The sequence below is a fragment of the Homo sapiens genome, chromosome 9 (assembly GCF_000001405.40).
Source record: "Homo sapiens chromosome 9, GRCh38.p14 Primary Assembly".
NCBI classification, from domain to species: domain Eukaryota; kingdom Metazoa; phylum Chordata; class Mammalia; order Primates; family Hominidae; genus Homo; species Homo sapiens.
Genome location: NC_000009.12, coordinates 130905161 through 130927089, shown reverse-complemented (window position 1 = coordinate 130927089; position 21929 = coordinate 130905161). Strand labels below are relative to the sequence as shown.

Here is a 21929-nt window from a genome sequence, read left to right as displayed (position 1 = left end):
TTTGATTAAAATTTTTTTGTAGAGAGGTCTTGCTATGGTGCTCAGGCTGGTCTCAAACTCCTGGCCTCAAGCAATCCACCCACCTCGGCCTCCCCACGTGCTAAGATTACTGTGTTGGGCCGAAAATCCCTTTTCTGGTAGGAGTGATAGGCCTATACCATGTGCTGGGCTCCGCGTTAATAGGCACTTTGCAGCCCCATAACGCCAGGAGGTTAGTACATTTGTTATCCCATTTTATTTTATTTTAATTCATTTATTTATTTTTTGAGACACGGTTGTCTCGCTCTGTCACCCAGCTGGAGTGCAGTGGTTCAATCTCGGCTCACTGCAACCTCCGCCTCCCAGGTTCAAGCGATTCTCCTGCCTCAGCCTCCTGAGTAGCTGGGACTACAGGCGCCCGCCACCACGCCCGGCTAATTTTTTTGTATTTTTAGTAGACACAGAGTTTCACCATGTTGGCCAGGCTGGTCTCAAACTCCTGACCTTAGGTGATCCACCCAACTTGGCCTCCCAAAGTGCTGGGATTACAGGCGTGAGCCACCACACCCGGCCTTGTTATCCCATTTTATGGAGAGGCAGACTGAGGCTCTGAGTGACAGGTGCGTGTGCAAGCTCACTCACACAGCTAAGCAGTGCCGGGGACAGCAGCTCTGACACCACTACCGCTAAGCGCTGTCCAGCCCTCCCCTGATGCGCCTCTGCAGCTCGGCAAGCAGGGACTCACTTCCCCATTAATTCGGGGCATGTTTATATGTACATTTTCAACTTTAATCATCTGCTGGTTTAAACAGAGGTCTTCCCTGCCCGTTAGCAAGAGGGAGGAGGCCGTGCCTGAGTTTTTTTTAGTGCGTTGTGGCCGTGTTGACTCAGATAAATGGGCAGTACCAGTGTGACTTAACCAAGTGATGTTTGCCGCACACACATCGCACGGCGGCCCCCACCTACCGTCTTCCCTCCTGCCCCGGTTGGGGTGTGCTGCCTGTGTCCCTCTGTGGGGCGTGCCCAGTGGAGCTCGTCTACAGGATGCTGCCGTGAAACCCAAACGCCCTGCCTGCCCATCTCTGCTCCTCTCTCCCCTGGCCTCAGCCCTCACTGAATCACCTGCTCAGCAGAGGGGAAACTGACAGGGAAACTAAAAGCTTTGCAGGGCCCCTGCCTCTGGACGAGCCGGGAATCATATTTTGTAAACTGCCGGCACTGTATATTTCTATTTTCCTTCCACGAATGGGCTATTATCTGGCAAGTGACATGTTAGGTGTATAAAGACCCGGCCGGCTCCATGCTCACTGGCTGGCCAGCTATAGCTTGCCCACTACCCCCTCACCCTCCACGTGGTCCTGCAGCCTCCTGAAGCCCAGGGTGGGGGCAAGAGACCTCAGACCCTTCAGGCACTCAACACAGGCAGAGGCGCTGGGGGACAGCATTGCGCTTGCCAAGCTCCAACCCCAGGGCTGTGTTGGAGGGAGGGGCGGGGGTGAAGGATGGAGAACAACGGCTGAGCTCCCCAGCCCAGGCTCTCCTGAATCCCCCCGCTCAGAGAAACAGGGCTCATTATCCTGGGTTACAAGGAAATGGAGACGTGGAGAGATTCGGACACTGTTCCGGGGTCACGCAGCTAGTGAACGGGGGAGGGACTGGAGTCAAAACACAGACAGTCAACACCAGAACCTGGGTCCAAACCACCGCCCCGTCCCCACCCTGACCCTGGTCTCCTACACAAGAACACAGCCCCGGGCCCCTTTCCTGCCAGCCCGCCCTAGGGAAGTGGCCTGAGTCCTGGTCCCTGCCCCCAGTGCCATCCTTCGCTCTCAGGGATTGCTCTTTCGGGGCCTCAGTTTCTCCATTTGTCACAAGAGATGACAACCTGAAGTCCTCCCTCTTTGCAGCGTGGTGGGGGACCCAGTGAGGTCATGGACATCGGAGAGCCCCAGAAACTCAGAGTGATGTTTGCATGGGGAGTGGGGGTGGGACGGGGGAGCCTTGTTGGTCCAGAAGCCTGAGGGGCTGCGCAAAGGCTCCTGTGGCCTCCCCAGCCTCAGGGCACCCCTCTGTCAAGTGCAGATCAATCACTCCTACCTCAGCAGCCTTGCTCGGGATCGGAAGAGGCAGCGGTGGGGATGTCTGGTAGCCTGGAAGGTGCTGTGGGAACTTGGTGTGCTGAGTACCCGGCCGGTCCTTGCCGCTGTGCTGGGCACCTCCCATGTGTTGTCACTGGTCCCCATAGCAGTTTGGCCAGGCCAGGGGAGACGAGGCGTGGTGAGGACATTCGCCCCTAGTCATATAACCGGCAAGTGGACGTGTTGGGCTCCAGCTGGATTTGCCCAACACGGGGCACTCTCTCCCCACCTGGCACGGCCTCCTCCAGTTTACTCTTCCCTGGGCCGAAGAGATGGCCGAAGAACGCAGCCTGGGGCAGCAGGGGTGGCAGGTGCCTGCTGGAGCCTCCTTCCCCTCCCGCCTGCTCCCCGGCCCTCCCAGCCCTCGAGGCCCCAGAGCACAGGCTCCATCATAGCCTGGCTGGCCCCTCAGACCACCTTGGACAGGGACCCAAGGGGCAGGGCAGGGCGGGGCCTTGAGCCAGAAGCCCACCTCTGCCTCAGGAGAGGGCCCACTCTGGCCAGTGACCTGCTATGTGCGCCACCCCACCCCCAACAGAGCCCCTGCCCCCTCGGCTCACCCCCTGTGCTCCGCAGCTTCTCTCTGAGAGCCAGGGCCACATGGCTCACCTGGTGAACTCCGTCAGCGACATCCTGGATGCCCTGCAGAGGGACCGGGGGCTGGGCCGGCCCCGCAACAAGGCCGACCTTCAGAGAGCGCCTGCCCGGGGAACCCGGCCCCGGGGCTGTGCCACTGGTGAGTGGGGCAGGGCCTGCCTTCCTCCGGTGCCTCGGGTCCCAGCTCTGGGGAGCGGGGAAGTTGGGGTGAGGGTTCCCCAGCCATGAGACTCCAGGGCCCGACCCTACTTCCATGTGGCCTGCGCTGAAGCCCTCTCGGTCCATTCTCCAGATGAGGAGAGTAAGTCCCAGAGAGGGTGATTCTCTCACCCAGCCACAGCAGGGAGTGGCAGAGCCAAGGTCGGACTCCAAGGCCAGTGCTCTCTCAACCCCATGGGACCCCACATGCATTATCGATGGACAGACAGTTTGGCCAGGGGGCTGGGCAGGAACGTGCTGGGGCCGCAGCCACCCTGACAGCCTTGCCTCCCTCAGGCTCCCGGCCCCGAGACTGTCTGGACGTCCTCCTAAGCGGACAGCAGGACGATGGCGTCTACTCTGTCTTTCCCACCCACTACCCGGCCGGCTTCCAGGTGTACTGTGACATGCGCACGGACGGCGGCGGCTGGACGGTGAGTGTCCCAGGCTGGGCGGGCGGCAGGGCAGGCACCGGGGACCGTGAGGCTGTGTACCTGAACCCGGGCATTCCGAGCAGCTTCCTACCCAGCCCTCCACCATGGATCTGTGGACTGGCCCTGCCCTGGTGCCCTTCTGCCTGGCCTGACCCCACCCCTACAGAAGAGGGGAACAGGGGACTCTGTGAGCTGACCCTGGGGTACCCACTCTGGAGCGGACATTAGGCAGGAGCCACCTTGGGCTCCCTGAGATCCCCAGCTGTGGCTCTTCCAGCAGGGGGTGGGGCGGGGTTTGGGCCTAGGACGACACATGGCAGCAGGAACCTGTTGCTAACGTGGGTTCCAGGGCTGATGTGTGTGGGCGCCCGGCTTTTTGAACTACCCAATACACGGCGCGTGTGCAGAAGAAAAAGGAGGAGTGTGGCTGGAGGAGCAGAGACCCCCCACAGCTATGGGCTGACAAGTGCTGTCTGATTCCTGCACCTCCTGGTTCCTGCCTGGGTGGGAAACAGGAGCGAGATGCCCCAACTGCCAGTCACAGGGCAGGGGCGGGACCACAGAAGGTGCTGGGAGAATGGGGCAGACGCCCTGCTTTGAAGACCAGGAGGACTGGCTCTTTAAGGCTTCTCAGCTTCACATTTCATTTCAGTTGGACAGACATTTTTGAGCACCTACTGTATACTGGGTTCCGGGGAAGCACAGAGATGGAGAAGCCCCTGTCCCAGTCCTCCCGAGGAATTTACACGCCAGGGGGCATTGGGGGCGGAAGAAGTCACTGTAGCAGAGGGGAGGGTAAAGCTTCCTGGAGAAGGGGGCATTTCTCATGAGCCATTAAAGCAGGGAGGATTTCTGAGTGCGGGCAGGAAGGAGAAGGTATTCCAGGAGGAGGGGGCAACCTAACGCGGCTACCAGGGAACATCTGAGGAGCAGGGCCCGAGGGATTTGTGGTGCGTGATGAGATGAGGCTGGAGTGTTCCAGCCCCAGGCTGCAGGGTTGGGACACACAGTCGGGAGCTACTGGGGGTGTTGAAGAGAGGAAGACGGGATGGGGACTGTGCTTCAGGAGAGGTGACTTGGCGGTGTGCATCCTTGGGCAGTGGGGAGAGGGACGGGGAGGAGGTGTTTCGACCGTTCAGTCCACAGGTCTATGATGGGACCCCGACAGCAGATGTCAGAGAGGCGGGGAGCCTGGAGGTTCCACGCTCTGGCCCTGTCATCCACAGGCTGCCCCAGGCATGGCTCTGAGTCCTGCTGTGTGACCTGGGGCAACTTACCTCGGTTCTCTGAGCCCCCGTTTCCTCAGCTGTGAAACGGGGATGCCCACCTACATCCTTAGACCTCTTAACTGCAAGCACAAGAAAGTGGGGGGCTCAGCTGAGAAGAAGTGTGCTGGAGAGAGACTGGGAGGCCGGCGATGCCAGTCAGGCCTGCTTAGCCAGGAACAGAGACCCCAGACCAGGCCCGGGGGTGGGCCGGTGAGAACCCCACCGCCCCAGGGCTGCTGCCACTGAGTGCGGGACGCATCTCGCCTGGGATCTTGGTGCTGACTATTTTTGGTGTATTGATGTCCAGGCCCACAAACATCTGGGGGAAGGGCTTAACATCAGACAAAACAAGTGACCGAGAAACAGGAGAGAGGGAAGCCTCTTGGCGGGGAGTTTTTGGGGGAGGCAGGGGTGCAGGCAGCCTGGGTCAGTTTTGAAAGGGGTCAGCGGTCCCCAGCAGAGGCAGGACGCGGGGAGGCCCGCACAGGCGGCCGGTGGAGGGACGAGTCCGCCAGCAAGGCAGAGCCTGCTATGTTAGGAGTCAGCGTGCGCAGATGAGAATCCCCACAAGACCCCAAAGACAGACACATCTCTAAACCTGTCTTCAAGCTCCAGAGGAGAGCTTTTAAAAATGTACTGGAGCTGCGTCTGGGGGATAAAAGCTCTTTTGTTTTCCTAACGCCAAGAACGTCTGAGTTATGGCATTTGCTTCTGGGAACCCCTTGGCGGGCGGAACAGTGAGGAGGCACCAGCCGAACCCAGAAATCAGAGTTCAGGGTCAGGACAGGCTTAATGAAAGATCAGGACGCCGGAGCGGGCCATGCGTCTTCCACTCTGGTGGACATGAAGCCAATCTCCCGGGAAGTCAATCAGGATTTGGGCTGGGAGGCCGGTCATTCCGACGGACTCAGCTTCAGGGGCGATTAGAGGGGAGTCGATGAGGAAATCCCCGCCAGCCCTGGCGCTCAGACACCCGGTTCCGGGGGCCCTGGGAGAGAGGCCATTCTCATCTGAGAAGTGCTTGCCTGGCCAGTGAGCATTAATATCCATTTGGGCCTCCATCAGAAGCAATCTTTTCCCAGGAACCTCTCGACATCTGTCAGGATCACCCCCCGCCACATGGAATCCGTCAGAAACTCAGTTTTTGTTTGGGAAGGAGCTGGCTGCCACCTCTCCAGCCCTGGATACCATCCATCCTCATTAGACTCCCTGTCCGAACTGCTAGGCCTTCAGCGCCAATGCCACCTGATCCTTCCTGGAGGACAGGGCACCTGGAACTGTGCCCCGAGACCCTGGGGCTGGACAGTCTCACCAGAGCCTGCTTCCCGGAGGGACCTGTGTGGGCAAGGGTGCAACTCAGCAGCCTGTCCCCAGGGCCACTTTACAGTTCATACACCCCTGCCCCCCACCCCCGGCATCACGCCAGCGCCCTTCAATCCCTGGAGGCAGGCAGGGCAGCCTCAGAGAAGGCCAGGGATGTGCCCGAGGTCACCCAGCAGCCTCCAGGCCTCCCACAGTGGCACACGCTCATTCTTGTGTTCAAACCTTGAATGCCTAAAGCAAGCCGGGGTCAGGGAGGTCAGCAGCGACGAGACAGCTCAGCGGGCTCCCAGCCTGGTGGACAGAAGGACAAGGAAGCCGACTTGTGCCAGGGATGGGGAGCCCCAGGGCCCAGAGGACAGACCCCTGTTCCAGTGTAGGGGGTGGGAGGAGTGAGGGGCAGGGAGACGGTATGGCTTGTTTGGGGGCCACGGTGGCTTGGTGCTACTGGCCTATCTGGTTTAAGGAGGTTTGGCGGCAGGGGAGGCGGCAGGTGGTCCTCAGGCCCCATCATCACCCCCATCACAGGTCCTGCCCTTCCGTGTCAGGAGTCCCAGGGGCAGGGACCACACCCTCCTGTGGCCATGTTAGCTCAGGGTGGGCACCGCACCTGCACACCCTCGGCACTCTCTAAATGCTTGCCAGATGATGGCTGTTGGCACCCTTTGGCTGTGTAGCTTTACCTCTGTTAAGTCTCGCTTTTCTCATCTGTAAAATGGGTACCATATAGAGCCGCTCTGCAGATGGGGACAAGTCAGAACCCTTCACAGGCTGCTCATCTGTGAGGAGTGAGCGGGGAGCGGGGCTGGGAGGGAGTCAGTGCTGAGCCCTGGGGGTTCCCTGTGAACACAGGATCTGGCTCTGCCTTGTAGCATCTTATAATCAAGGGGAGGCGGAGTGGTAAAAAGAAAGGCCAGATGTCCTTATTCAGAAGGTGCCGAGTGGGATGAAGCCAGCCATTGCCAGCCCACAGCCCCCACCCCCAGCGCCCCTGGCTGTGTGAGATGCCAGGGTCACGTCCCTTCTTGGAGGGCCCCTTGCTCATCTGTCCAGTGGGGCGGCCCTCTTGCCTGCCTTTCAGGGCCTGGGGAATGGGCTGGCTGTGCCCAGAACCTGCAGGTGGGCGGAAGGAGGGCCCCTGCTCAGCCTCAGTGCCTGGGCTCCCCGCCCCCACCCAGCCTCCCTGCCCTGCCGCACAGTCTTGTCCCCACTGCAATCTGCCGGGGGCAGTGCTGCCCCCCAGGCCTGACTGCCAAGCCCTCAACATTGCATAGTCACTGGCTGGGGTCACACACGTGAGGTCCAGATCAACATGTCCTTCAGCAGGGACTTGGAGTGGCCATGATAGGACCCCATACCTACCTGCTCCGCTCCCAGGCACAGCCAACGTCCCCCAACACCACGGTGCCAAGTGGCCCAAACCCTGTTCTTTGCAGCCCTGTTCTCCGCCAGGTGCTTCCTTTGTGCGAGGTCAGCCAGTTCACATCTGCCTGTAATTGGCTCCCCTGGAAAGGAGCCCCCACATCCCCCCACCTGAGCTCTTTAGGCCGGGAGGAAAATCCTGCCCTCACATGGAGAACGTCAGAGGAGCCCAACAGCAGGCTCAGGCTCAGGGAGGGATGAAGAGCTCCTGGGGCCTCCCCAGGTGCCAGCCTGGACCCCTGTGCCGGGGAGGCTGAGCAGCAGGACCTCGGGGTCCAACAGATGAGATGTTAGCTCCTTCCTACTTGGGCTGCAGCTGCGGCCGGCCCTCCTTGTCCCAGAGGCAGTGGTGGCAGGGGATCTGCTGTGACATTGGTGGGCCACAGTGTCCCCACGCTACTGCCTGGCCCACACCCTGCCTGGGGAATGGTCCTCAGAGCACACACACATTCATAATGGCGAGGTGACCGGTGACCGGGGACAACACCCTCACATTTCCTTCGTTCATCGTGCAAAGAAAGCGTGCCTCCGTGGGGAGCAGTTTGGGTTTTTCAAACTTTGAACAGAAACAGGACAATGCACGTGCAGGGCCCAGCCCCGCGCCCGCCGTGGCTCAGCACCCGAGAAACGGCAGCTTGGCAGTGCTGTGCCAAGAGCCGGCAGGCGCCGACTGCCAAGCCTGGGAATGACGGCAGGGCGCCAAGCCTGGGGGTACCGTTTTCAGTCAAAAACAAGGAGTGGGTCCGATTTCCTTCTGGGCTCAGCAGCTGGCTCTGCAGGGAGGGTGGTGATGTTGGTTAGGCCTACTGTGCGCCGTCCGTTTACGCATTGACTTGATTGCCTCTTCCCCACCGGCCCTGCGCGGGCTTATGCAGAGAGAAACAGACTCAGAAAGGTTCTGCAACCTGTCCGAGGTCACGTGGCCTGTGAGAGGTAGTCAGGATTTGAACTCAGCTCTGCCTTGTTCCTGACTGAGCCCAGAGGCCTCCCTGGGGGCACTGCCCAGAGGTGTCCAGAAAGGAGTTAAGGGAAAGCCAGACTCCTGGGAATGCCGCAGAGCCGCCCCAGGGCTGCCTTTGAAGGGCTGCCGTAGCTCACACATCCAAGTTCTTTGTTCTTTAAAAACATGCATCCTCCTCTGCCAGGACCCCTCTGCCCCCCTCCCAGAATCACCTGATCAGAAAGCCCGGGAGGCTGGGAGAGGCCACAGCTCCACAACCAAGACAGTCCTGTCTGTAACTGGTTTCTGCAGCAGTTTCATCACAGTCTAGGAAAAACCGCAGTTGCTGCTTCCAGGGGGCCGTTCTAAGGCATCGGAGACCCTCTCTCCCAGTCTCATAGGGTTTGGACCCACCCACCCCCCATTCCTTGGGTTTCAGCTCCTCTGCCCAGCTGGCAAGGCTCTGCTTAATGTTCCATTCAGCCAGGCATGTCCTCCTCCAGGGAGCCCTCCCAGATAACCACCTCCAACTGCCCCAGCAGAGGGACTCACTCCTTCTCAGGGTTCCCAGCAAGCTCTGTTGAATGCTGTGCACCAGCACATTTAATTCTCATCAAAACTTTGTGGGTTGAGGCTTTTATAATCCTAGCTTTACAGATGAGGAAACTGAAGCCTGGGGTTTGGAGGAATGTGCCAGGGTGGGAGCTGCTCTGCCCTATGGCTGCTGGCTTGTGCGTCGTCTCTCATGGGGCTGTGAGCTTTGAGGGCCAAGGTCATCCCTGTGAGCCCCGAGCACACACGGGGTGCTGTGCAGGAGCCCTTGTTTTGCAGGGGAGAAGCCACGTATCCTGTTGGCTGGAGTCTGGGTAGAACTCAGGTCTCCTGGGTGCCAGCCCAGGGAGCTCCCTGGGACTGAGCGTGCACTCTCATCCCCACTCCTCTGGCCATCTCAGCCCTGCGCACCTGGGTTGCCCACTCCTCCAAGCCTCAGTCTTCTCATCTGCCTAATGGGAGCACCAGTCGTCCCTCCAGGGCTGTGGCGGGGAAGGCCGTGGTCATCCTCTACGGCACTGGCCGGGTGCTAGGGTGACCACAGAGCCCAGCTCAGTGCTCAGGACGCTAGCTGCATGTTCTGGGCACAGTGGCAAAGCAGCAGCTGGTTGGTCAGGGTCTGTCTGCAGAGGCAGCCCTGGGCGGGATGCAACCTGCGGAGTGTAAGGCTGCAGCGGCCCAGAGGCATCTCCGCCTCCCTCGGTCCCCAGGCCCCATCTGACAACACAGGGCCGTCGGTGGCTGCTGCTGTCTTCCTTCCTCCGCGTCCAGAGCTGTCACTCCTTCCTCCATGTCCAGAGCCGTCACTCCTTCCTTTGAACCCGCCCAGCACCATCTGCAGGACCATGTGGGCCCAGCTCTCCCTTGGCAGAGCCCCTCTAAGCGGCACTTCCAAGGTGCGCCGGGCGGCGGGCTTCTGAGAATCCGCACCAAGAAAACACTCTCTGTCTGTCTTCCCACTCGTGGCATCTGCCCAAGAGGCTGCGGCTGCGGCGAGTGTTTCTACTCAATCGTTTTCCAGCCGGGACCCAAGAGAGACGCCCCCCCGGAGCTGGACCAATTCATATTTTGGCCTGAAAATGAATCAGTAATTTTTGTTTCCCTACCTTTTGCTCCCCGCCTCCATTTTGTTTTGTTTTGTTTTAAGACGAGGTCTCACTCTGTTGCCCAGGCTGGAGTGCAGTGGTGTGATCTTGGCTCGCTGCAACCTCTGCCTCCCAGGTTCAAGTGATTCTCCTGCCTCAGCCTCCCGAGTAGCTGGGATTAAAGGCGCCTGCCACCACACCCAGCTAATTTTTGTATTTTTAGTAGAGATGGGGTTTCACCATATTAGCCAGACTGGTCTCGAACTCCTGACCTCAAGTGATGTGCCTGCCTCAGCCTCCCAAAGTGCTGGGATTACAGGCGTGGGCCACCGCGCCCAGACTCCCCACCCCTTTTTGCCTAGTGGGGATTCACGTTCGGTGGGTGGGGCAGAAAGAAGGGGAAGTGGACGCCTGGATCCTTTCCTTACTTCCTCCCTCTGTCCTCCCATCCCACTGGTCCTCGCTGTGTAATTAAAGCCCTCTGTGCTTGGCCACATCCAGGCATCTGGCGTCACCAAGGTCCAGTGTCGCTGAAGCTGTTTGCCAGAAATACAAAGCCACAGCTGCAGTTTATCCTGGGCTCAGAGTCAGACTAAACATTCCCCCACACGGGAAGCTGGGAGGACCCACCTGACGATCTGGGCCGTGCTCGGCACTTGCACTAGTCAGGCCACGTTGGGCTGTCATTGGCTCGAGGTCGGGGCAGGGTTTCCAAGCCCGAGATCCTAGCACAGGGCCCGGCACAGGCAGTCACTTGGGGTGTGAACCAAGAAATCAGGACAGCCCGTGGCAAAGGCTGTCAGTGGTTCCCAAACTGCGGGCGTACTCCGTGGGTCACTGGCAAAATCAACTGAATGGGTTTGATCAACATTATTTTTTCAATCAAATAGAGTGGAATAGAACATGATAGAAAATATCAGTGCACTAAGGCTGGGCGCGGTGGCTCACGCCTATAATCCCAGCACTTTGGGAGGCCAAGGTGGGTGGATCACAAGGTCAGGTGTTCAAGACCATCCTGGCCAAGATCGTGAAAGCCCGTCTCTACTAAAAATACAAAAAACTTAGCCGGGCATGGTGGCAGGTGCCTGTAATCCCAGCTACTCAGGAGGCTGAGGCAGAGAATTGCTTGAACCTGGGAGGCAGAGGTTGCAGTGAGCTGAGATCGTGCCACCGCACTGCCTGGGTGACAGAGTAACACTCTGTGTCAAAAGAAAAAAGAAAATATCTATGCACGTCCTTCTGCATTAAGCTAAGTCTGGAGTCTGGATGCGTGTGCCTGTGTGGTGACGTCGGCTGCATCTCTCTGGGACATGGTCAGTCTGCAGGTCACTTCTTCAAGGCCAGACCACAGATGTGTCTTGGCGCCTTAAGAGCAGGTCCGCAATCCGTCACTGCACACGTTAAAAGTGCCCACGTTGGCCGACAGTTGCTGCAGTTTATTTTTTTATTTTTTTGAGACAGAGTCTCGCTCTTATCACTCAGGTTGGAGTGCAGTGGCGCGATCTCGGCTCACTGCAACCACGCCTCCTGGGTTCAAGTGATTATCCTGCCTCAGCCTCCCAAGTAGCTGGGACTACAGGCACCTGCCACTATGCCCGGCTAATTTTTGTATTTTTAGTAGAGACGGGGTTTCACCGTGTTGGCCAGGCTGGTCTCGAACTCCTGACCTCAGGAGATCTGCCTGCCTCGGCCTCCCAAAGTGCTGGGGTTACAGGCGTGAGCCACCGCTCCTGGCCAATTGCTGCAGTTTCTAAGTGGGCGTTGATTCGGGCTACCTGGACAGGAGTGCCGGCCGTATGTGGTTTCAGTGTCCTTCCTTGGGCAGAGGCAAAGGCAGGGGGCCAGGTGTGCTCACCCCAATTGATCGGCACCAAGGAGGAGCCCTGGGGGATGGTGGGGTCACTGTAACTGGCACCCAGACTGAGAGGGCAGTGGGAAAGAGGGGGCTGAGGACTGTGGGTGCAGGGACCAGCTCTTGGCACCAGAAGCCTGGGTAGAGGGGCACACTCAAGGCTACAGCCATCCTGGTCAGTGGACCTGCCACCAAGCACGAGTGTGGACATGGTGTCAGGACATTAGCCTTCAGGCGCTGGTGGCAAGGGTAGGTCCAGACTGTCGTGGGACTGAGGGCACAAGATGTAGTCGGCCCCCGCTTTTTGCTGCTCACGGCCGCCTGGCCGCTGGCCAGTGTCCGAGCTTCGGCCCTGTAAGGGTGGGGTGCCTGGGCTCGGGGAAAGGGTTTGGGGAGGGACATGGGCACGCAGAGAGCACGCAGCCCCCGAGCTGAGTCTCGACTGCCCATCATCCCATCAGCTGGGACGCAGGGGCAGGAACAGCCCCTCCTGCCACATCCTGAAGAGTCAGGGCAGGGCTGGGGTCTGGCGAGTTACGTAAATGGCAGCATTGGTTCCAGGCGTCCCAGTGGTGGGAGTGAGCGCTGGAGGCAGAGCCTGGGGGATCCTCTCGGAGGCTGTGGTCTGGGCTACCGGGGCTTCTTGCTCTCATTCTGGATGGTTCCTCTGAGCCTTTAGGAAGAGGCACAGCTGGGCACCTGTACATCAGCTCACCTGCCCCTGGTTGGGCACGCCCACTGGCTGCTGGGGTCTCCCCACTACCCGCACTGTGGCCTACTTCCCTGCATTTTCTGCCCCGCCCAGCAGGCTGACACAGGGCCCAGGACCCTGCCCCTCCTCCAGGGCCACCCTGCTGGGCAGACCTGTTCTCTCCCCAACCTCCAAGTCTGTCCTGCCTCTTGCACGGTTGGGGTCCCCTGAGCACGGGTGTCTCCTCTGTTCCTTTGCCCTAAGGTCCCCAAGGGCAGAACCGTGACCTCGTATCCACTGACTTGGCTTTTGCAGCTGGTGCCTGGCAGGAGATGCTCGGTGGAACATCTGTGTGAATGAGAGGCTGGGACAGACCCCTCGGGAGGGCTGGGGGAGGGTGGAGGCCAGAGTCTGGGAGAGGAGCAGAGGAGGCAGGAGCCCTCGCCCAGGCCTGGGCCTCAGTGCTGTGGCTAGCCACCCAGCTGGCACTTGCTGAACACCTACTATGTGCCAGGCCTGAGCTTATTCTCGGTGGATGGTCATAGCCTGGGAGGAAGGCGTGGCTGTGATCTCTGCTTTACAGACGTGGGTGCTGGGGCCTGGAGAGGTGTGGGGACTTGCCAGGGCTCTCTAAGGCAAAGCTGGGGCCCTGGAACCCAGATCCACAACCACTGGGCTCCCCTGCCTTCAGGAACTCCTTCACCACTGAGCATGCCCAGGTCCCCAGTCCCCAGGGCAGAGGCCCAGCCGACGGCCAATGCCAGCCAGGCATCCCAGGGGGCTTCGGGCCTGCCGGTCCCTCTAGCTCCCCTCCTCCTGCGGAAACAGGCTCCTACTGCCCGCTGCCTTCTCAGGGGAGTGCCTGAGCTTCTGCTAGGATTAGGCCTTTGAAAAGGTGCGTGCTCAGGGTCCCAATATGCGGCCATCAATACGGCTCTCCACCGCTCCTCAGATCTCCCTGAGCCTGATCGAATTTCCTTCCACCCCGAGCCGGTCACTCCTGAGGACTTTCAGATTTCAGAGCTGGGCCAGGTTTGAGGTAGCAAAGCACGAAAAAGGAGGTGTCATCTCCCTCCAGCTCCCTGACGTCAGAGCTGCCCAAACGCCGTGACGGACACGTCCCCGAGGGCTCAGAGCAGGGCTCAGAGCATTGGCAAACGCTCACGCGGCAGACGCCTCGGGTCAGACCGGGCATCCGGGCAGTTCCGAGCGACTGAAATCAGGCTGCTTAGTAATGAAACTGGCAGCTCGCCGGTGCCGCAGCCAGATCTCTAACACATCAGACTCTGACACAGATGGAGGCCGGCCGGGCCGCGGGCGCTGCCTCGGAGAATAAAGCAGGGAGAATAAAGGAGAATAAAGCTTGTTAAACAGAAAGAGGGCTGGGAGGGCTGGGGAGGCCGGCTGGGACGGATTGTCAGCGGATCCTGTAAATACTCCAGGCAGCTCTGGCCCGGGCCAGCGTGGTACTCATTTCAAAGCAATTTAACCGATGGGATTCCTGACTCCCAAATCAAGAATGTTATTAAAATGAACAACAGAGGCAGCCCAGGCGCTCGTTGGTACCCAAGTCACACCCCGCTGACTGTGGGCTCCTCGTCCTCCCCTGAGCCATCGCCTGGACTCCGGTTTCCCAGCACCCCGACCCCTGCCCCAGGCTTGTTTTGGGGAAGGGGAGCTTATTGAGGGACAGGGCTCTGGAGGCCAAGCCTGGGGTGTGTGGGGGGTGCTCTTGGTTCTTAAAAACTGGAGGATAGACTTGGTCAGTTTTGTTTTGACCTGGAAAAAGATTAAGACTCTGCCCCCCCTTTCTTTGACCATTGGGGAAACCGAAGCCCAGAGCAAAGTGCTGGAGATGCCCCCAAAGCCGGCTTTCCTCCACCCCACCGAGATTCCCTTTTTTTTTTTTCAGACAGTTTTGCTCTATCACCCAGGCTGGAGTGTAGTGGCATGATCTCGGCTCACTGCAACCTGCGCCTCCCGGGATCAAGCGATTCTCCTGCCTCAGCCTCCCCAGTAGCTGGGATTACAGGTGCATGCCACCAAGCCTGGCTAATTTTTATATTTTCAGTAGAGACGGGGTTTCCCCACGTTGACCAGGCTGGTCTCGAACTCCTGACCTCAGGTGATCCACCCACCTCGGCCTCCCAAAGTTCTGGGATTACAGGCGGGAGTCACCGTGCCCGGCCCACCCCACTTTTTTTTTTTTTTTTTTTTTTTTGAGAGAGAGCCCAGGCTGGAGTACAGTGGCACGATCATAGCTCACTGCAGCTTTAACCTCCCGGGCTCAAGGGATCCTTCTGCCTCAGCCTCTCAAGTAGCTAGGATTACAGGCATCCACCATCACACCTGGCTAATTTTTAAATTTTTTGTAAAGATGGGGTCTCACTATGTTGTCTCGAACTCCTGGGCTCAGCCTTCCTTGCTGGGATTCCGGGCATGAGCCACCATGCCCGGCCTGGAATTCCTCCCTGAGGAGCCGTCTTGGGGGCCTGTGGGCATTTGGTTAATCCCACCTCGAGCCACCATGAGGCTCTGGAACCTCTGCTGTTTTCCAGGCCCCTGGCCAGGGGCCGTTGCGGGAAGTGGGCAACCAGGCCCCTGCCCTCCCGAGAGGGCAGGTTGGGAGCAGGGTGAGGGGAGTCTCTGGGCGGGGTGGGCCCAGGTGGGCTGCGAGTCCTGGGATGGTCGGTGCCAACGCCCCATCCCCATCTTCCCTTTGCAGGTGTTTCAGCGCCGGGAGGACGGCTCCGTGAACTTCTTCCGGGGCTGGGATGCGTACCGAGACGGCTTTGGCAGGCTCACCGGGGAGCACTGGCTAGGTGAGCACCCCACCCACCATCCGGCCCAGGTGGGCCTCCTCCCCCTGCCTTCCGGACACAGTTGGGTCCCAGCTGCTCCCTGAATGGGTTTGGGCTGGGTTTCCCTGGCCTCGGCACACCTGAGCCAGCTCACAGGTGTCATGCATGAAGGTGACAGGCATTCAGAAGGAATGAGGCCAGACATTGCCAACGGAAGTGTCAGCGTGGGTGGGCTCCCAGTGCTCATAAAGGCTGAGGGTCCCACATGCCCTTGGAGGCCACTTCCTGCCGGGGTCACCCTGGGACCTGCTGGCTGTCCTGAATCAAGCCAGCTTGGGCAGGTGGTCAGCAGCATCCCAGGCAGCAGGAGGACAGAGGAGGACCCGGCCCCACCCTGCCCAAGGGTGCCAGGGACACCAGGCATGGAACTCCCAAGAGTGGCCAGTGGTGCTGAGTGTGTCCAGAATTGGTGGGTTCTTGGTCTCACTGATTTCAAGAATGAAGCTGCAGACCCTCGTGGTGAGTGTTATAGCTCTTAAGGTAGCGCGCCTGGAGTTTTTTTCTTCTGATGTTCGGATATGTTCGGAGTTTCTTCCTTCTGGTGGGTTCGTGGTCTAGCTGGCTCAGGAGTGAAACTGCAGACCTTCACGGTGAGTGTTGCAGCTCATAAAAGCAGCGTGGACCCAAAGAGTGAAAGAACAAAGCTTCCACAGCGCAGGAGGGAACCTGAGCGGGTTGCCGAGGCTGGCTGGGGCAGCCTGCTTTTATTCTCTTATGTGGCCCCACCCACATCCTGCTGCTTGGTAGAGCCCAGTGGTCTGTTTTGACAGGGGGCTGATTGGTGCGTTTACAATCCCTGAGCTAGACACAAAGGTTCTCCACCTCCCCATCAGATTAGTTAGATACAGAGTATGGACACAAAGGTTCTCTAAGGCCCCACCAGAGCAGCTAGATACAGTGTGTTGATTGGTGCACTCACAAACCCTGAGCTAGACACAGGGTGCTGATTGGTGTGTTTACAATCCCTGAGCTAGACATAAAGGTTCTCCAAGGCCCCACCAGAGCAGCTAGATACAGAGTGTTGATTGGTGCACTCACAAACCCTGAGCTAGACACAGGGTGCTGATTGGTGTGTTTACAAACCTTGAGCTAGATACAGAGTGCCGATTGGTGTATTTACAATCCCTGAGCTAGACATAAAGACTCTCCACCTCCCCACCAGACTCAGGAGCCCAGCTAGCTTCACCTAGTGGATCCCGCACCGGGACTGCAGGTGGAGCTGCCTGCCAGTCCCGCGCCGTGTGCCTGCACTCCTCAGCCCTTGGGTGCTCGATGGGACCGGGCGCTGTGGAGCAGGGGGTGGCGCTCGTCAGGGAGGCTCGGGCCGCACAGGAGCCCACGGAGGGGGTGGGAGGCTCAGGCATGGCGGGCTGCAGGTCCCGAGCCCTGGCCCGCGGGAAGGCAGCTAAGGCCCGGTGAGAAATCGAGTGCAGCGCCGGTGGGCTGGCACTGCTGGGGGACCCAGTACACCCTCCACAGCCGCTGGCCCAGGTGCTAAGTTCCTCATTGCCCCGGGGCCAGCGGGGCTGGTCGGCTGCTCTGAGTGTGGGGCCCGCCAAGCCCATGCCCACCTGGAACTCCAGCTGGCCCGCAAGCGCCGCACGCAGCCCCGGTTCCCGCTCGCGCCTCTCCCTCCACCCCTCCCTGCAAGCTGAGGGAGTGGGCTCCGGCCTTGGCCAGCCCAGAAAGGGGCTCCCACAGCGCAGCGGTGGGCTGAAGGGCTCCTCAAGTGCCGCCAAAGTGGGAGCCCACGCAGAGGAGGCGCCGAGAGCGAGGGAGGGCTGTGAGGACTGCCAGCACGCTGTCACCTCTCACCAGCCAGGGCTCCTGTTTGGGCCTGGAGGCAACCGCACGCCTTCCTGCCACTGGGACACAGTCCCTGCCTGGCACAAAGTAGGAGCTCAGAAGGTTCTGTCAATATCATTACCTATGTTTAAATTCACTCAGTATTTTAGAATTTTTGAAAGTCCTTAACATTTCTTTTTTTTTTTTAACATTTCACTATCTAAACAAAATATTCTAAACAAAACTTCATTTATCTAAACAAAACATTTATCTTAACAAAACATCCTAAAAGAATCACAACTTTGAGGTCCTATCTACCTATATATATTTGGGAAGTGGCTATGGCTTGAAATGAGGTGGATTTTTCTGGTTGTTCTTGAGATATAATTTACATACAACAAAATTCCCTGTGTGGAAGTGTATGACCCTGTGGTTTTTAGTATATTCAGAATATTACAACCATTGCCACTGGGTCCAGAACCTTTTCCTCACTCCAGAAGGAAACCCTGTACCCCCGGGAGCAGTCACTCCTTGCAGGTTTTGAATATACATGAAACGCACAGGTGCTGGGGAATGTGTGCCCCGAGTGTCATCTGGGCGGCCTCGAATGCCCCACAGTGTCCTCCTGCACTTAAGCCCCCCGGGTGTGTGCGGACATCCAGGGAGTTCCACAAGCTGTGGGGGTTGGGGGCGAGGGGCGGCGGAGGGGGCGCCTTGGGTGGGAGGGAGGGAGAGGGTAAGAAGGGTGAGGACATCCCGGGAGTTCCCCAGTGCGGGGCAGAGCTGGTGGTGGAGGGAGAGGGTGAGAAGGGTGTGGACATCTGAGGAACTCCCCTGCGAGCGAGCGGGGTCAGAGCTGGTAGGGAGGCTTAGGCGGGAAGGAGAGGGTGGGCCTGCGTGCCTGGCGGGAAGCACCACCTGAGAGGCTGAGAGCGCAGGTCTGGGCACCAGCCGGGGTCAGGAGGGCTCCAGGCCTGTAAGGATGTTCAGTGACACCCCTGGAAGATGGGGGGTCGGGGGCCCCAAAGGCAGGGTTGGGGTGGTGAGGCGGGGCCGCCCCTCTGTGTGCATGGAGGCCCCTGGGCAAGATCTGCCACCCATGCCCCCTCCTCACCGGGGCCCATGAGAGCAGGGCCCTCTCTGACCTGCCGTGCCCTGGTGCCCAGGGGGTGCCGACAACAGGGAAGGTCACACCCCGTGTGGACTTCATGCCCACACCCCGTGCTGACCCCCAACCCACTGAGCACCCAGCTACACGCTTCCCATGCATCGTCCCCAAAGCCTCACACCCACCTAGTTGGGGGCCCTGCTGTCGTCCCCTCCTTTTAGAGATGAGGAAGTTGAGGCTTAGGAAAGGGAGGTCCCTTGTCACAAGCCTGCGTGTGTTGGGGTTGGGGGAGCCCCAGCAGGGTCTACACACTGGCGCCCAACCCAGCTCGCCTCATCCCCGAACCTGGTGGGTGGAAGGAGGGGAGATGGGGAGACCCTGCCTCAGGCTCCCCAAGCTGGGGGTAAAGATAAGGACAAGGCGGCAGGGCCAAGGCATGCCCTCGCCACCACCCACCCCCTGGAGCAGCGGTGATGCCCGTGCTCATGGTATCTTAATTGAAATCTATCAGCAGCTGCAGATGATGCGGGAGGAAGCATTTAAGCAGGTCCTCATTCCAGCATCCTGCAGACGAGCCCTGACAGGAATGTCAACAGCGCCAGTCCCTCCTCTGCCGCACCACCCTCCCCATCCCCTCTCAATGAGTGCTTTGTCTTTTCCTATCGAGTCATGGAAGCTCTCTATATATTAAGGTTACCGATCATTTGTCCAACACATGATAGGTATTAACTTCTGGCCATTTGTCTTTCAGCTTTTTCTTTTTCTTTTGTGGGGTCATGTTATTATTTATTTCCTAGAAATTTAAGATGTTTATGCACTCAGTTCTGCCACCCTTTTCTTTGTATCTTTTCTGGGTTTTAGCCCCTGCTTTCCTTTCCTTCCCTTCCTAGTTTTATTTTTTTTTTAAGTCTCCTCTATTTTTTCTTCTGTTTTTCTTTTCTTTCTTTTTTTTTTTTTTTTTGAGACAGAGTCTCACTCTGTAGTTCAGGCTGGAGTACAGTGGCATGATATCAGCTCACTGCAACCTCCACCTCCCGGGTTCAAGCGATTCTCCTGCCTCAGCCTCCCAAGTAGCTGGGATTACAGGCGCCCGCCACCACGCCCGGCTAATTTTTGTATTTTCAGTACAGACAGGGGTTTCACCATATTGGCTAGGCTGGTCTCGAACTCCTGACCTCGTGATCTGCCCGTCTCGGCCTCCCAAAGTGCTGGAATTACAGGCGTAAGCCACCGCGCCCAGGCTTTTCTTCTGTTTTTCTAGTGTTGTTTTAGGTTGACAGCTTTAGTCCAGCTGGAAGTCCACTGGGGTGGACATGTGAAGTTTAGGGTCTTAGTGGTTTCCTGTCTGTTTCAAGCCATCAGCCCTGTTTCTTGCTCTTGGCGATTTGAGCCGGGAGCTGGTGAAGGAGTTGGATCAGGGGCCCAGGGAATCTGGGAAGAACAGCTAACGTGGCTGGGAGCGGTCCTGGAAGGCCAGGGAAAAGCTGGGAGAGCTGGAGAAAGCCAAAGAGCAAGGGCAGGGAGGCGAGGGAGGGAGGAGGTGGCGTGGACTGGAGGAAGGACGGAGAGGACCCAGGCCCCAGGTCCCCACCCACCCCTCCCTCGGGCGTCCTGCCTAGCAGCCCCCGGGACACCGCTCATGAATTGTCACTCAACCCAGAGGAGTGGCTAATGGTGGCCTTTGGGTGCCAATGGCCAATTAGTGGTGGGAAAAGGAATCTTCCAGCATCCCCGGGGGGCCGGTCTCCCTCTCTCCCTATTCCTGCATCATCTGATTTGTTCTGGGTAAGGTCTGAATAGCAGCAGGGATTTGGGGCCCTTCTGCCTGGGTTCAAATCCCAGCAATGCCACTCAGCAGCCGCGTGACCTGGGCCAGCTCCTTAACCTCCCTGGGCCTCATTTTCCTCCCCTATAAAATAGGTAGTAATAGGCACTCCTTCCCCGGGGCCTTGGGAAGCAGCAGTCAGCACCTGGATAATGTGTGCAGCGGGCCAGCCCTGCCAGAAGAGCCGCCCAGGGATTCTGTAATTAAATTAGACTCACTCTAATTCCACTGGATTCACTCATCTGCACGAAGGGCTGAGAACGGTGCTGGGCCCTTGCGAGTGCCGTCCAGGTGGCGGCTGTTGTCATGATTACCTCCCACCTGCCCTTTTGTGTATGACACTCTCCTGGCCCCTCACATCAGCCCTGCGCCAGCCGAGCTGGGGCCCAGAGAGGGAGAGCGGCTGCCCTGAGACTCAGCAGCAGGAGAGTCAGGGAGGTGGGGACCCTGGGTGAGACCCTAGGCTGTCAAAGCCCATGCCCTGGCAGGTCCTTGGGGAGGAACGTGGGTCGTGCGGTCAGCTTTGCTGTGACTCCTCCCACAGTAGCTGCTCCTGGTCCCTGGACCTGGTGACTGGGACCAAAGGCTTCTTGTCCGGGCGGGATGGGGGAGGATCCGCACAGCCTCCAGCCAGCACACACTGACCCCGGGAGGTGCGGAGCCGGGGAGAGGCAGGCAGGAGGGAGAAGCGGATGGAATACCACTCGCTGCTACTAACTTGTGAAACATTTCATTAAATGCCCTCTTAATCAAGAGTAACCACACCAGCAGTGAAGCATCTTGGGAGTCTGAGCACGTATGTGTATGGTAGGGGAGGCCTGGCATGAGACCCCGGGGATGGGCAGGGCAGAGTTGAGGTGGGGCGGGGACAGCAGGAGGGAGAGAGTAGGATGGGGGCACAGAGCCGGCCTAGAGGGGTGAGGGTGCCGCCAACTCCCTCCCATCCACTAAGCCAGCGCTGGGTAAGCACCATTGTGCCAGGCCCCACCCCAGGCACTGGGGTCAGCAGTGGCTAGGTCGGACATGCCACTGTCACGGGAATTCCGCACTGGTGGGGAAACTGACAAGATAGGCAGCCGGGACCCTGAAAGATAAATACCCACAGGGGCACATGTGTTGGCAGAGGAGGTCCTCAACGCCGACAGGAGGTCAGGCAGCCTTCCAGAAATGAATAGAAGGTAACCAAGTGAGGAGGAGTAGGGACAAGCATCCTGGCAGAGGGAACAGCATGTGCAAAGGCCCAGAGGCCAGGTATAGGAAAATGCGAACACAGATCCTGTCTGTCTGGCTCTGGCTGGAGTCTGGGTAAGGGTGCTGTCACCCCCACCTCCTCCCGCCTCCTGCAGTCTTCCCACCAGCTCAGAGCCCCAACGTTTGAAAAGCATCACAGCTCCACTTAAAGGGAACAGAGAAAACCAAACATGAAAACTGTCGGTCCTCAGTGGCTTGCCCAACACAGGCCTGCAGGAAGAAGGAAGTAGCCCAGGGCTGATTGCACGCACTTGGTGGTTGTCCCTTTCTGTCCCCAACTGCATGAGCTCAGCTGTCATTTATCATTTCTCCCTGGGGAGTCGCTTCCTACGCCCCTCAGCTTCTCCCACCATTTTCCCCCCAACTTCAGGGCTCAAGAGGATCCACGCCCTGACCACACAGGCTGCCTACGAGCTGCACGTGGACCTGGAGGACTTTGAGAATGGCACGGCCTATGCCCGCTACGGGAGCTTCGGCGTGGGCTTGTTCTCCGTGGACCCTGAGGAAGACGGGTACCCGCTCACCGTGGCTGACTATTCCGGCACTGCAGGTGAGGCTCCAGCTGTGGCAGGGATGGGGAAGGGGGGCGGCCTGGGAGGATGGAGGACGGAGGAGGTCCTGCC

General features: G+C 58.8%; 1 protein-coding gene across 4 annotated transcripts in view, besides 7 other annotated features; it reads left to right on the top strand.

Annotated features, from left to right (window-relative positions):
• Positions 1 to 21929, top strand: part of FIBCD1 (fibrinogen C domain containing 1) — a 38270-nt gene that overhangs the window by 13620 nt on the left and 2721 nt on the right. For all 4 annotated transcript variants that reach the window (XM_047423989.1, NM_001145106.2, NM_032843.5 and 1 more), the window contains 4 exons: positions 2694 to 2853; positions 3210 to 3346; positions 15202 to 15298; positions 21677 to 21856. In XM_047423989.1, coding sequence (XP_047279945.1) covers positions 2694 to 2853; positions 3210 to 3346; positions 15202 to 15298; positions 21677 to 21856 — 574 coding nt within the window. The remainder of the gene's footprint in view (positions 1 to 2693; positions 2854 to 3209; positions 3347 to 15201; positions 15299 to 21676; positions 21857 to 21929) is intronic.
• Positions 845 to 894: an enhancer, noted in NCBI's record as "active region_29165". NCBI's record gives its function as "activates an Ori minimal core promoter by ATAC-STARR-seq in GM12878 lymphoblastoid cells {active_cell/tissue: GM12878}" and the evidence as "EXISTENCE:reporter gene assay evidence [ECO:0000049][PMID:35858748]".
• Positions 2769 to 3716: an enhancer, noted in NCBI's record as "H3K27ac-H3K4me1 hESC enhancer chr9:133798761-133799708 (GRCh37/hg19 assembly coordinates)". NCBI's record gives its function as "activates a minimal SCP1, AML or CMV promoter by ChIP-STARR-seq in naive H9 embryonic stem cells {active_cell/tissue: H9 hESC(naive)}" and the evidence as "EXISTENCE:reporter gene assay evidence [ECO:0000049][PMID:30033119]".
• Positions 3193 to 3373: a silencer, noted in NCBI's record as "fragment chr9:133799104-133799284 (GRCh37/hg19 assembly coordinates)". NCBI's record gives its function as "represses an EF-1alpha promoter that drives an FKBP-Casp9 reporter gene in an ReSE screen in HepG2 liver carcinoma cells {active_cell/tissue: HepG2}" and the evidence as "EXISTENCE:reporter gene assay evidence [ECO:0000049][PMID:32094911]".
• Positions 4264 to 4447: a silencer, noted in NCBI's record as "fragment chr9:133798030-133798213 (GRCh37/hg19 assembly coordinates)". NCBI's record gives its function as "represses an EF-1alpha promoter that drives an FKBP-Casp9 reporter gene in an ReSE screen in K562 erythroleukemia cells {active_cell/tissue: K562}" and the evidence as "EXISTENCE:reporter gene assay evidence [ECO:0000049][PMID:32094911]".
• Positions 4667 to 5616: an enhancer, noted in NCBI's record as "H3K4me1 hESC enhancer chr9:133796861-133797810 (GRCh37/hg19 assembly coordinates)". NCBI's record gives its function as "activates a minimal SCP1, AML or CMV promoter by ChIP-STARR-seq in naive H9 embryonic stem cells {active_cell/tissue: H9 hESC(naive)}" and the evidence as "EXISTENCE:reporter gene assay evidence [ECO:0000049][PMID:30033119]".
• Positions 7651 to 8191: an enhancer, noted in NCBI's record as "H3K27ac-H3K4me1 hESC enhancer chr9:133794286-133794826 (GRCh37/hg19 assembly coordinates)". NCBI's record gives its function as "activates a minimal SCP1, AML or CMV promoter by ChIP-STARR-seq in naive H9 embryonic stem cells {active_cell/tissue: H9 hESC(naive)}" and the evidence as "EXISTENCE:reporter gene assay evidence [ECO:0000049][PMID:30033119]".
• Positions 12093 to 12785: an enhancer, noted in NCBI's record as "H3K4me1 hESC enhancer chr9:133789692-133790384 (GRCh37/hg19 assembly coordinates)". NCBI's record gives its function as "activates a minimal SCP1, AML or CMV promoter by ChIP-STARR-seq in naive H9 embryonic stem cells {active_cell/tissue: H9 hESC(naive)}" and the evidence as "EXISTENCE:reporter gene assay evidence [ECO:0000049][PMID:30033119]".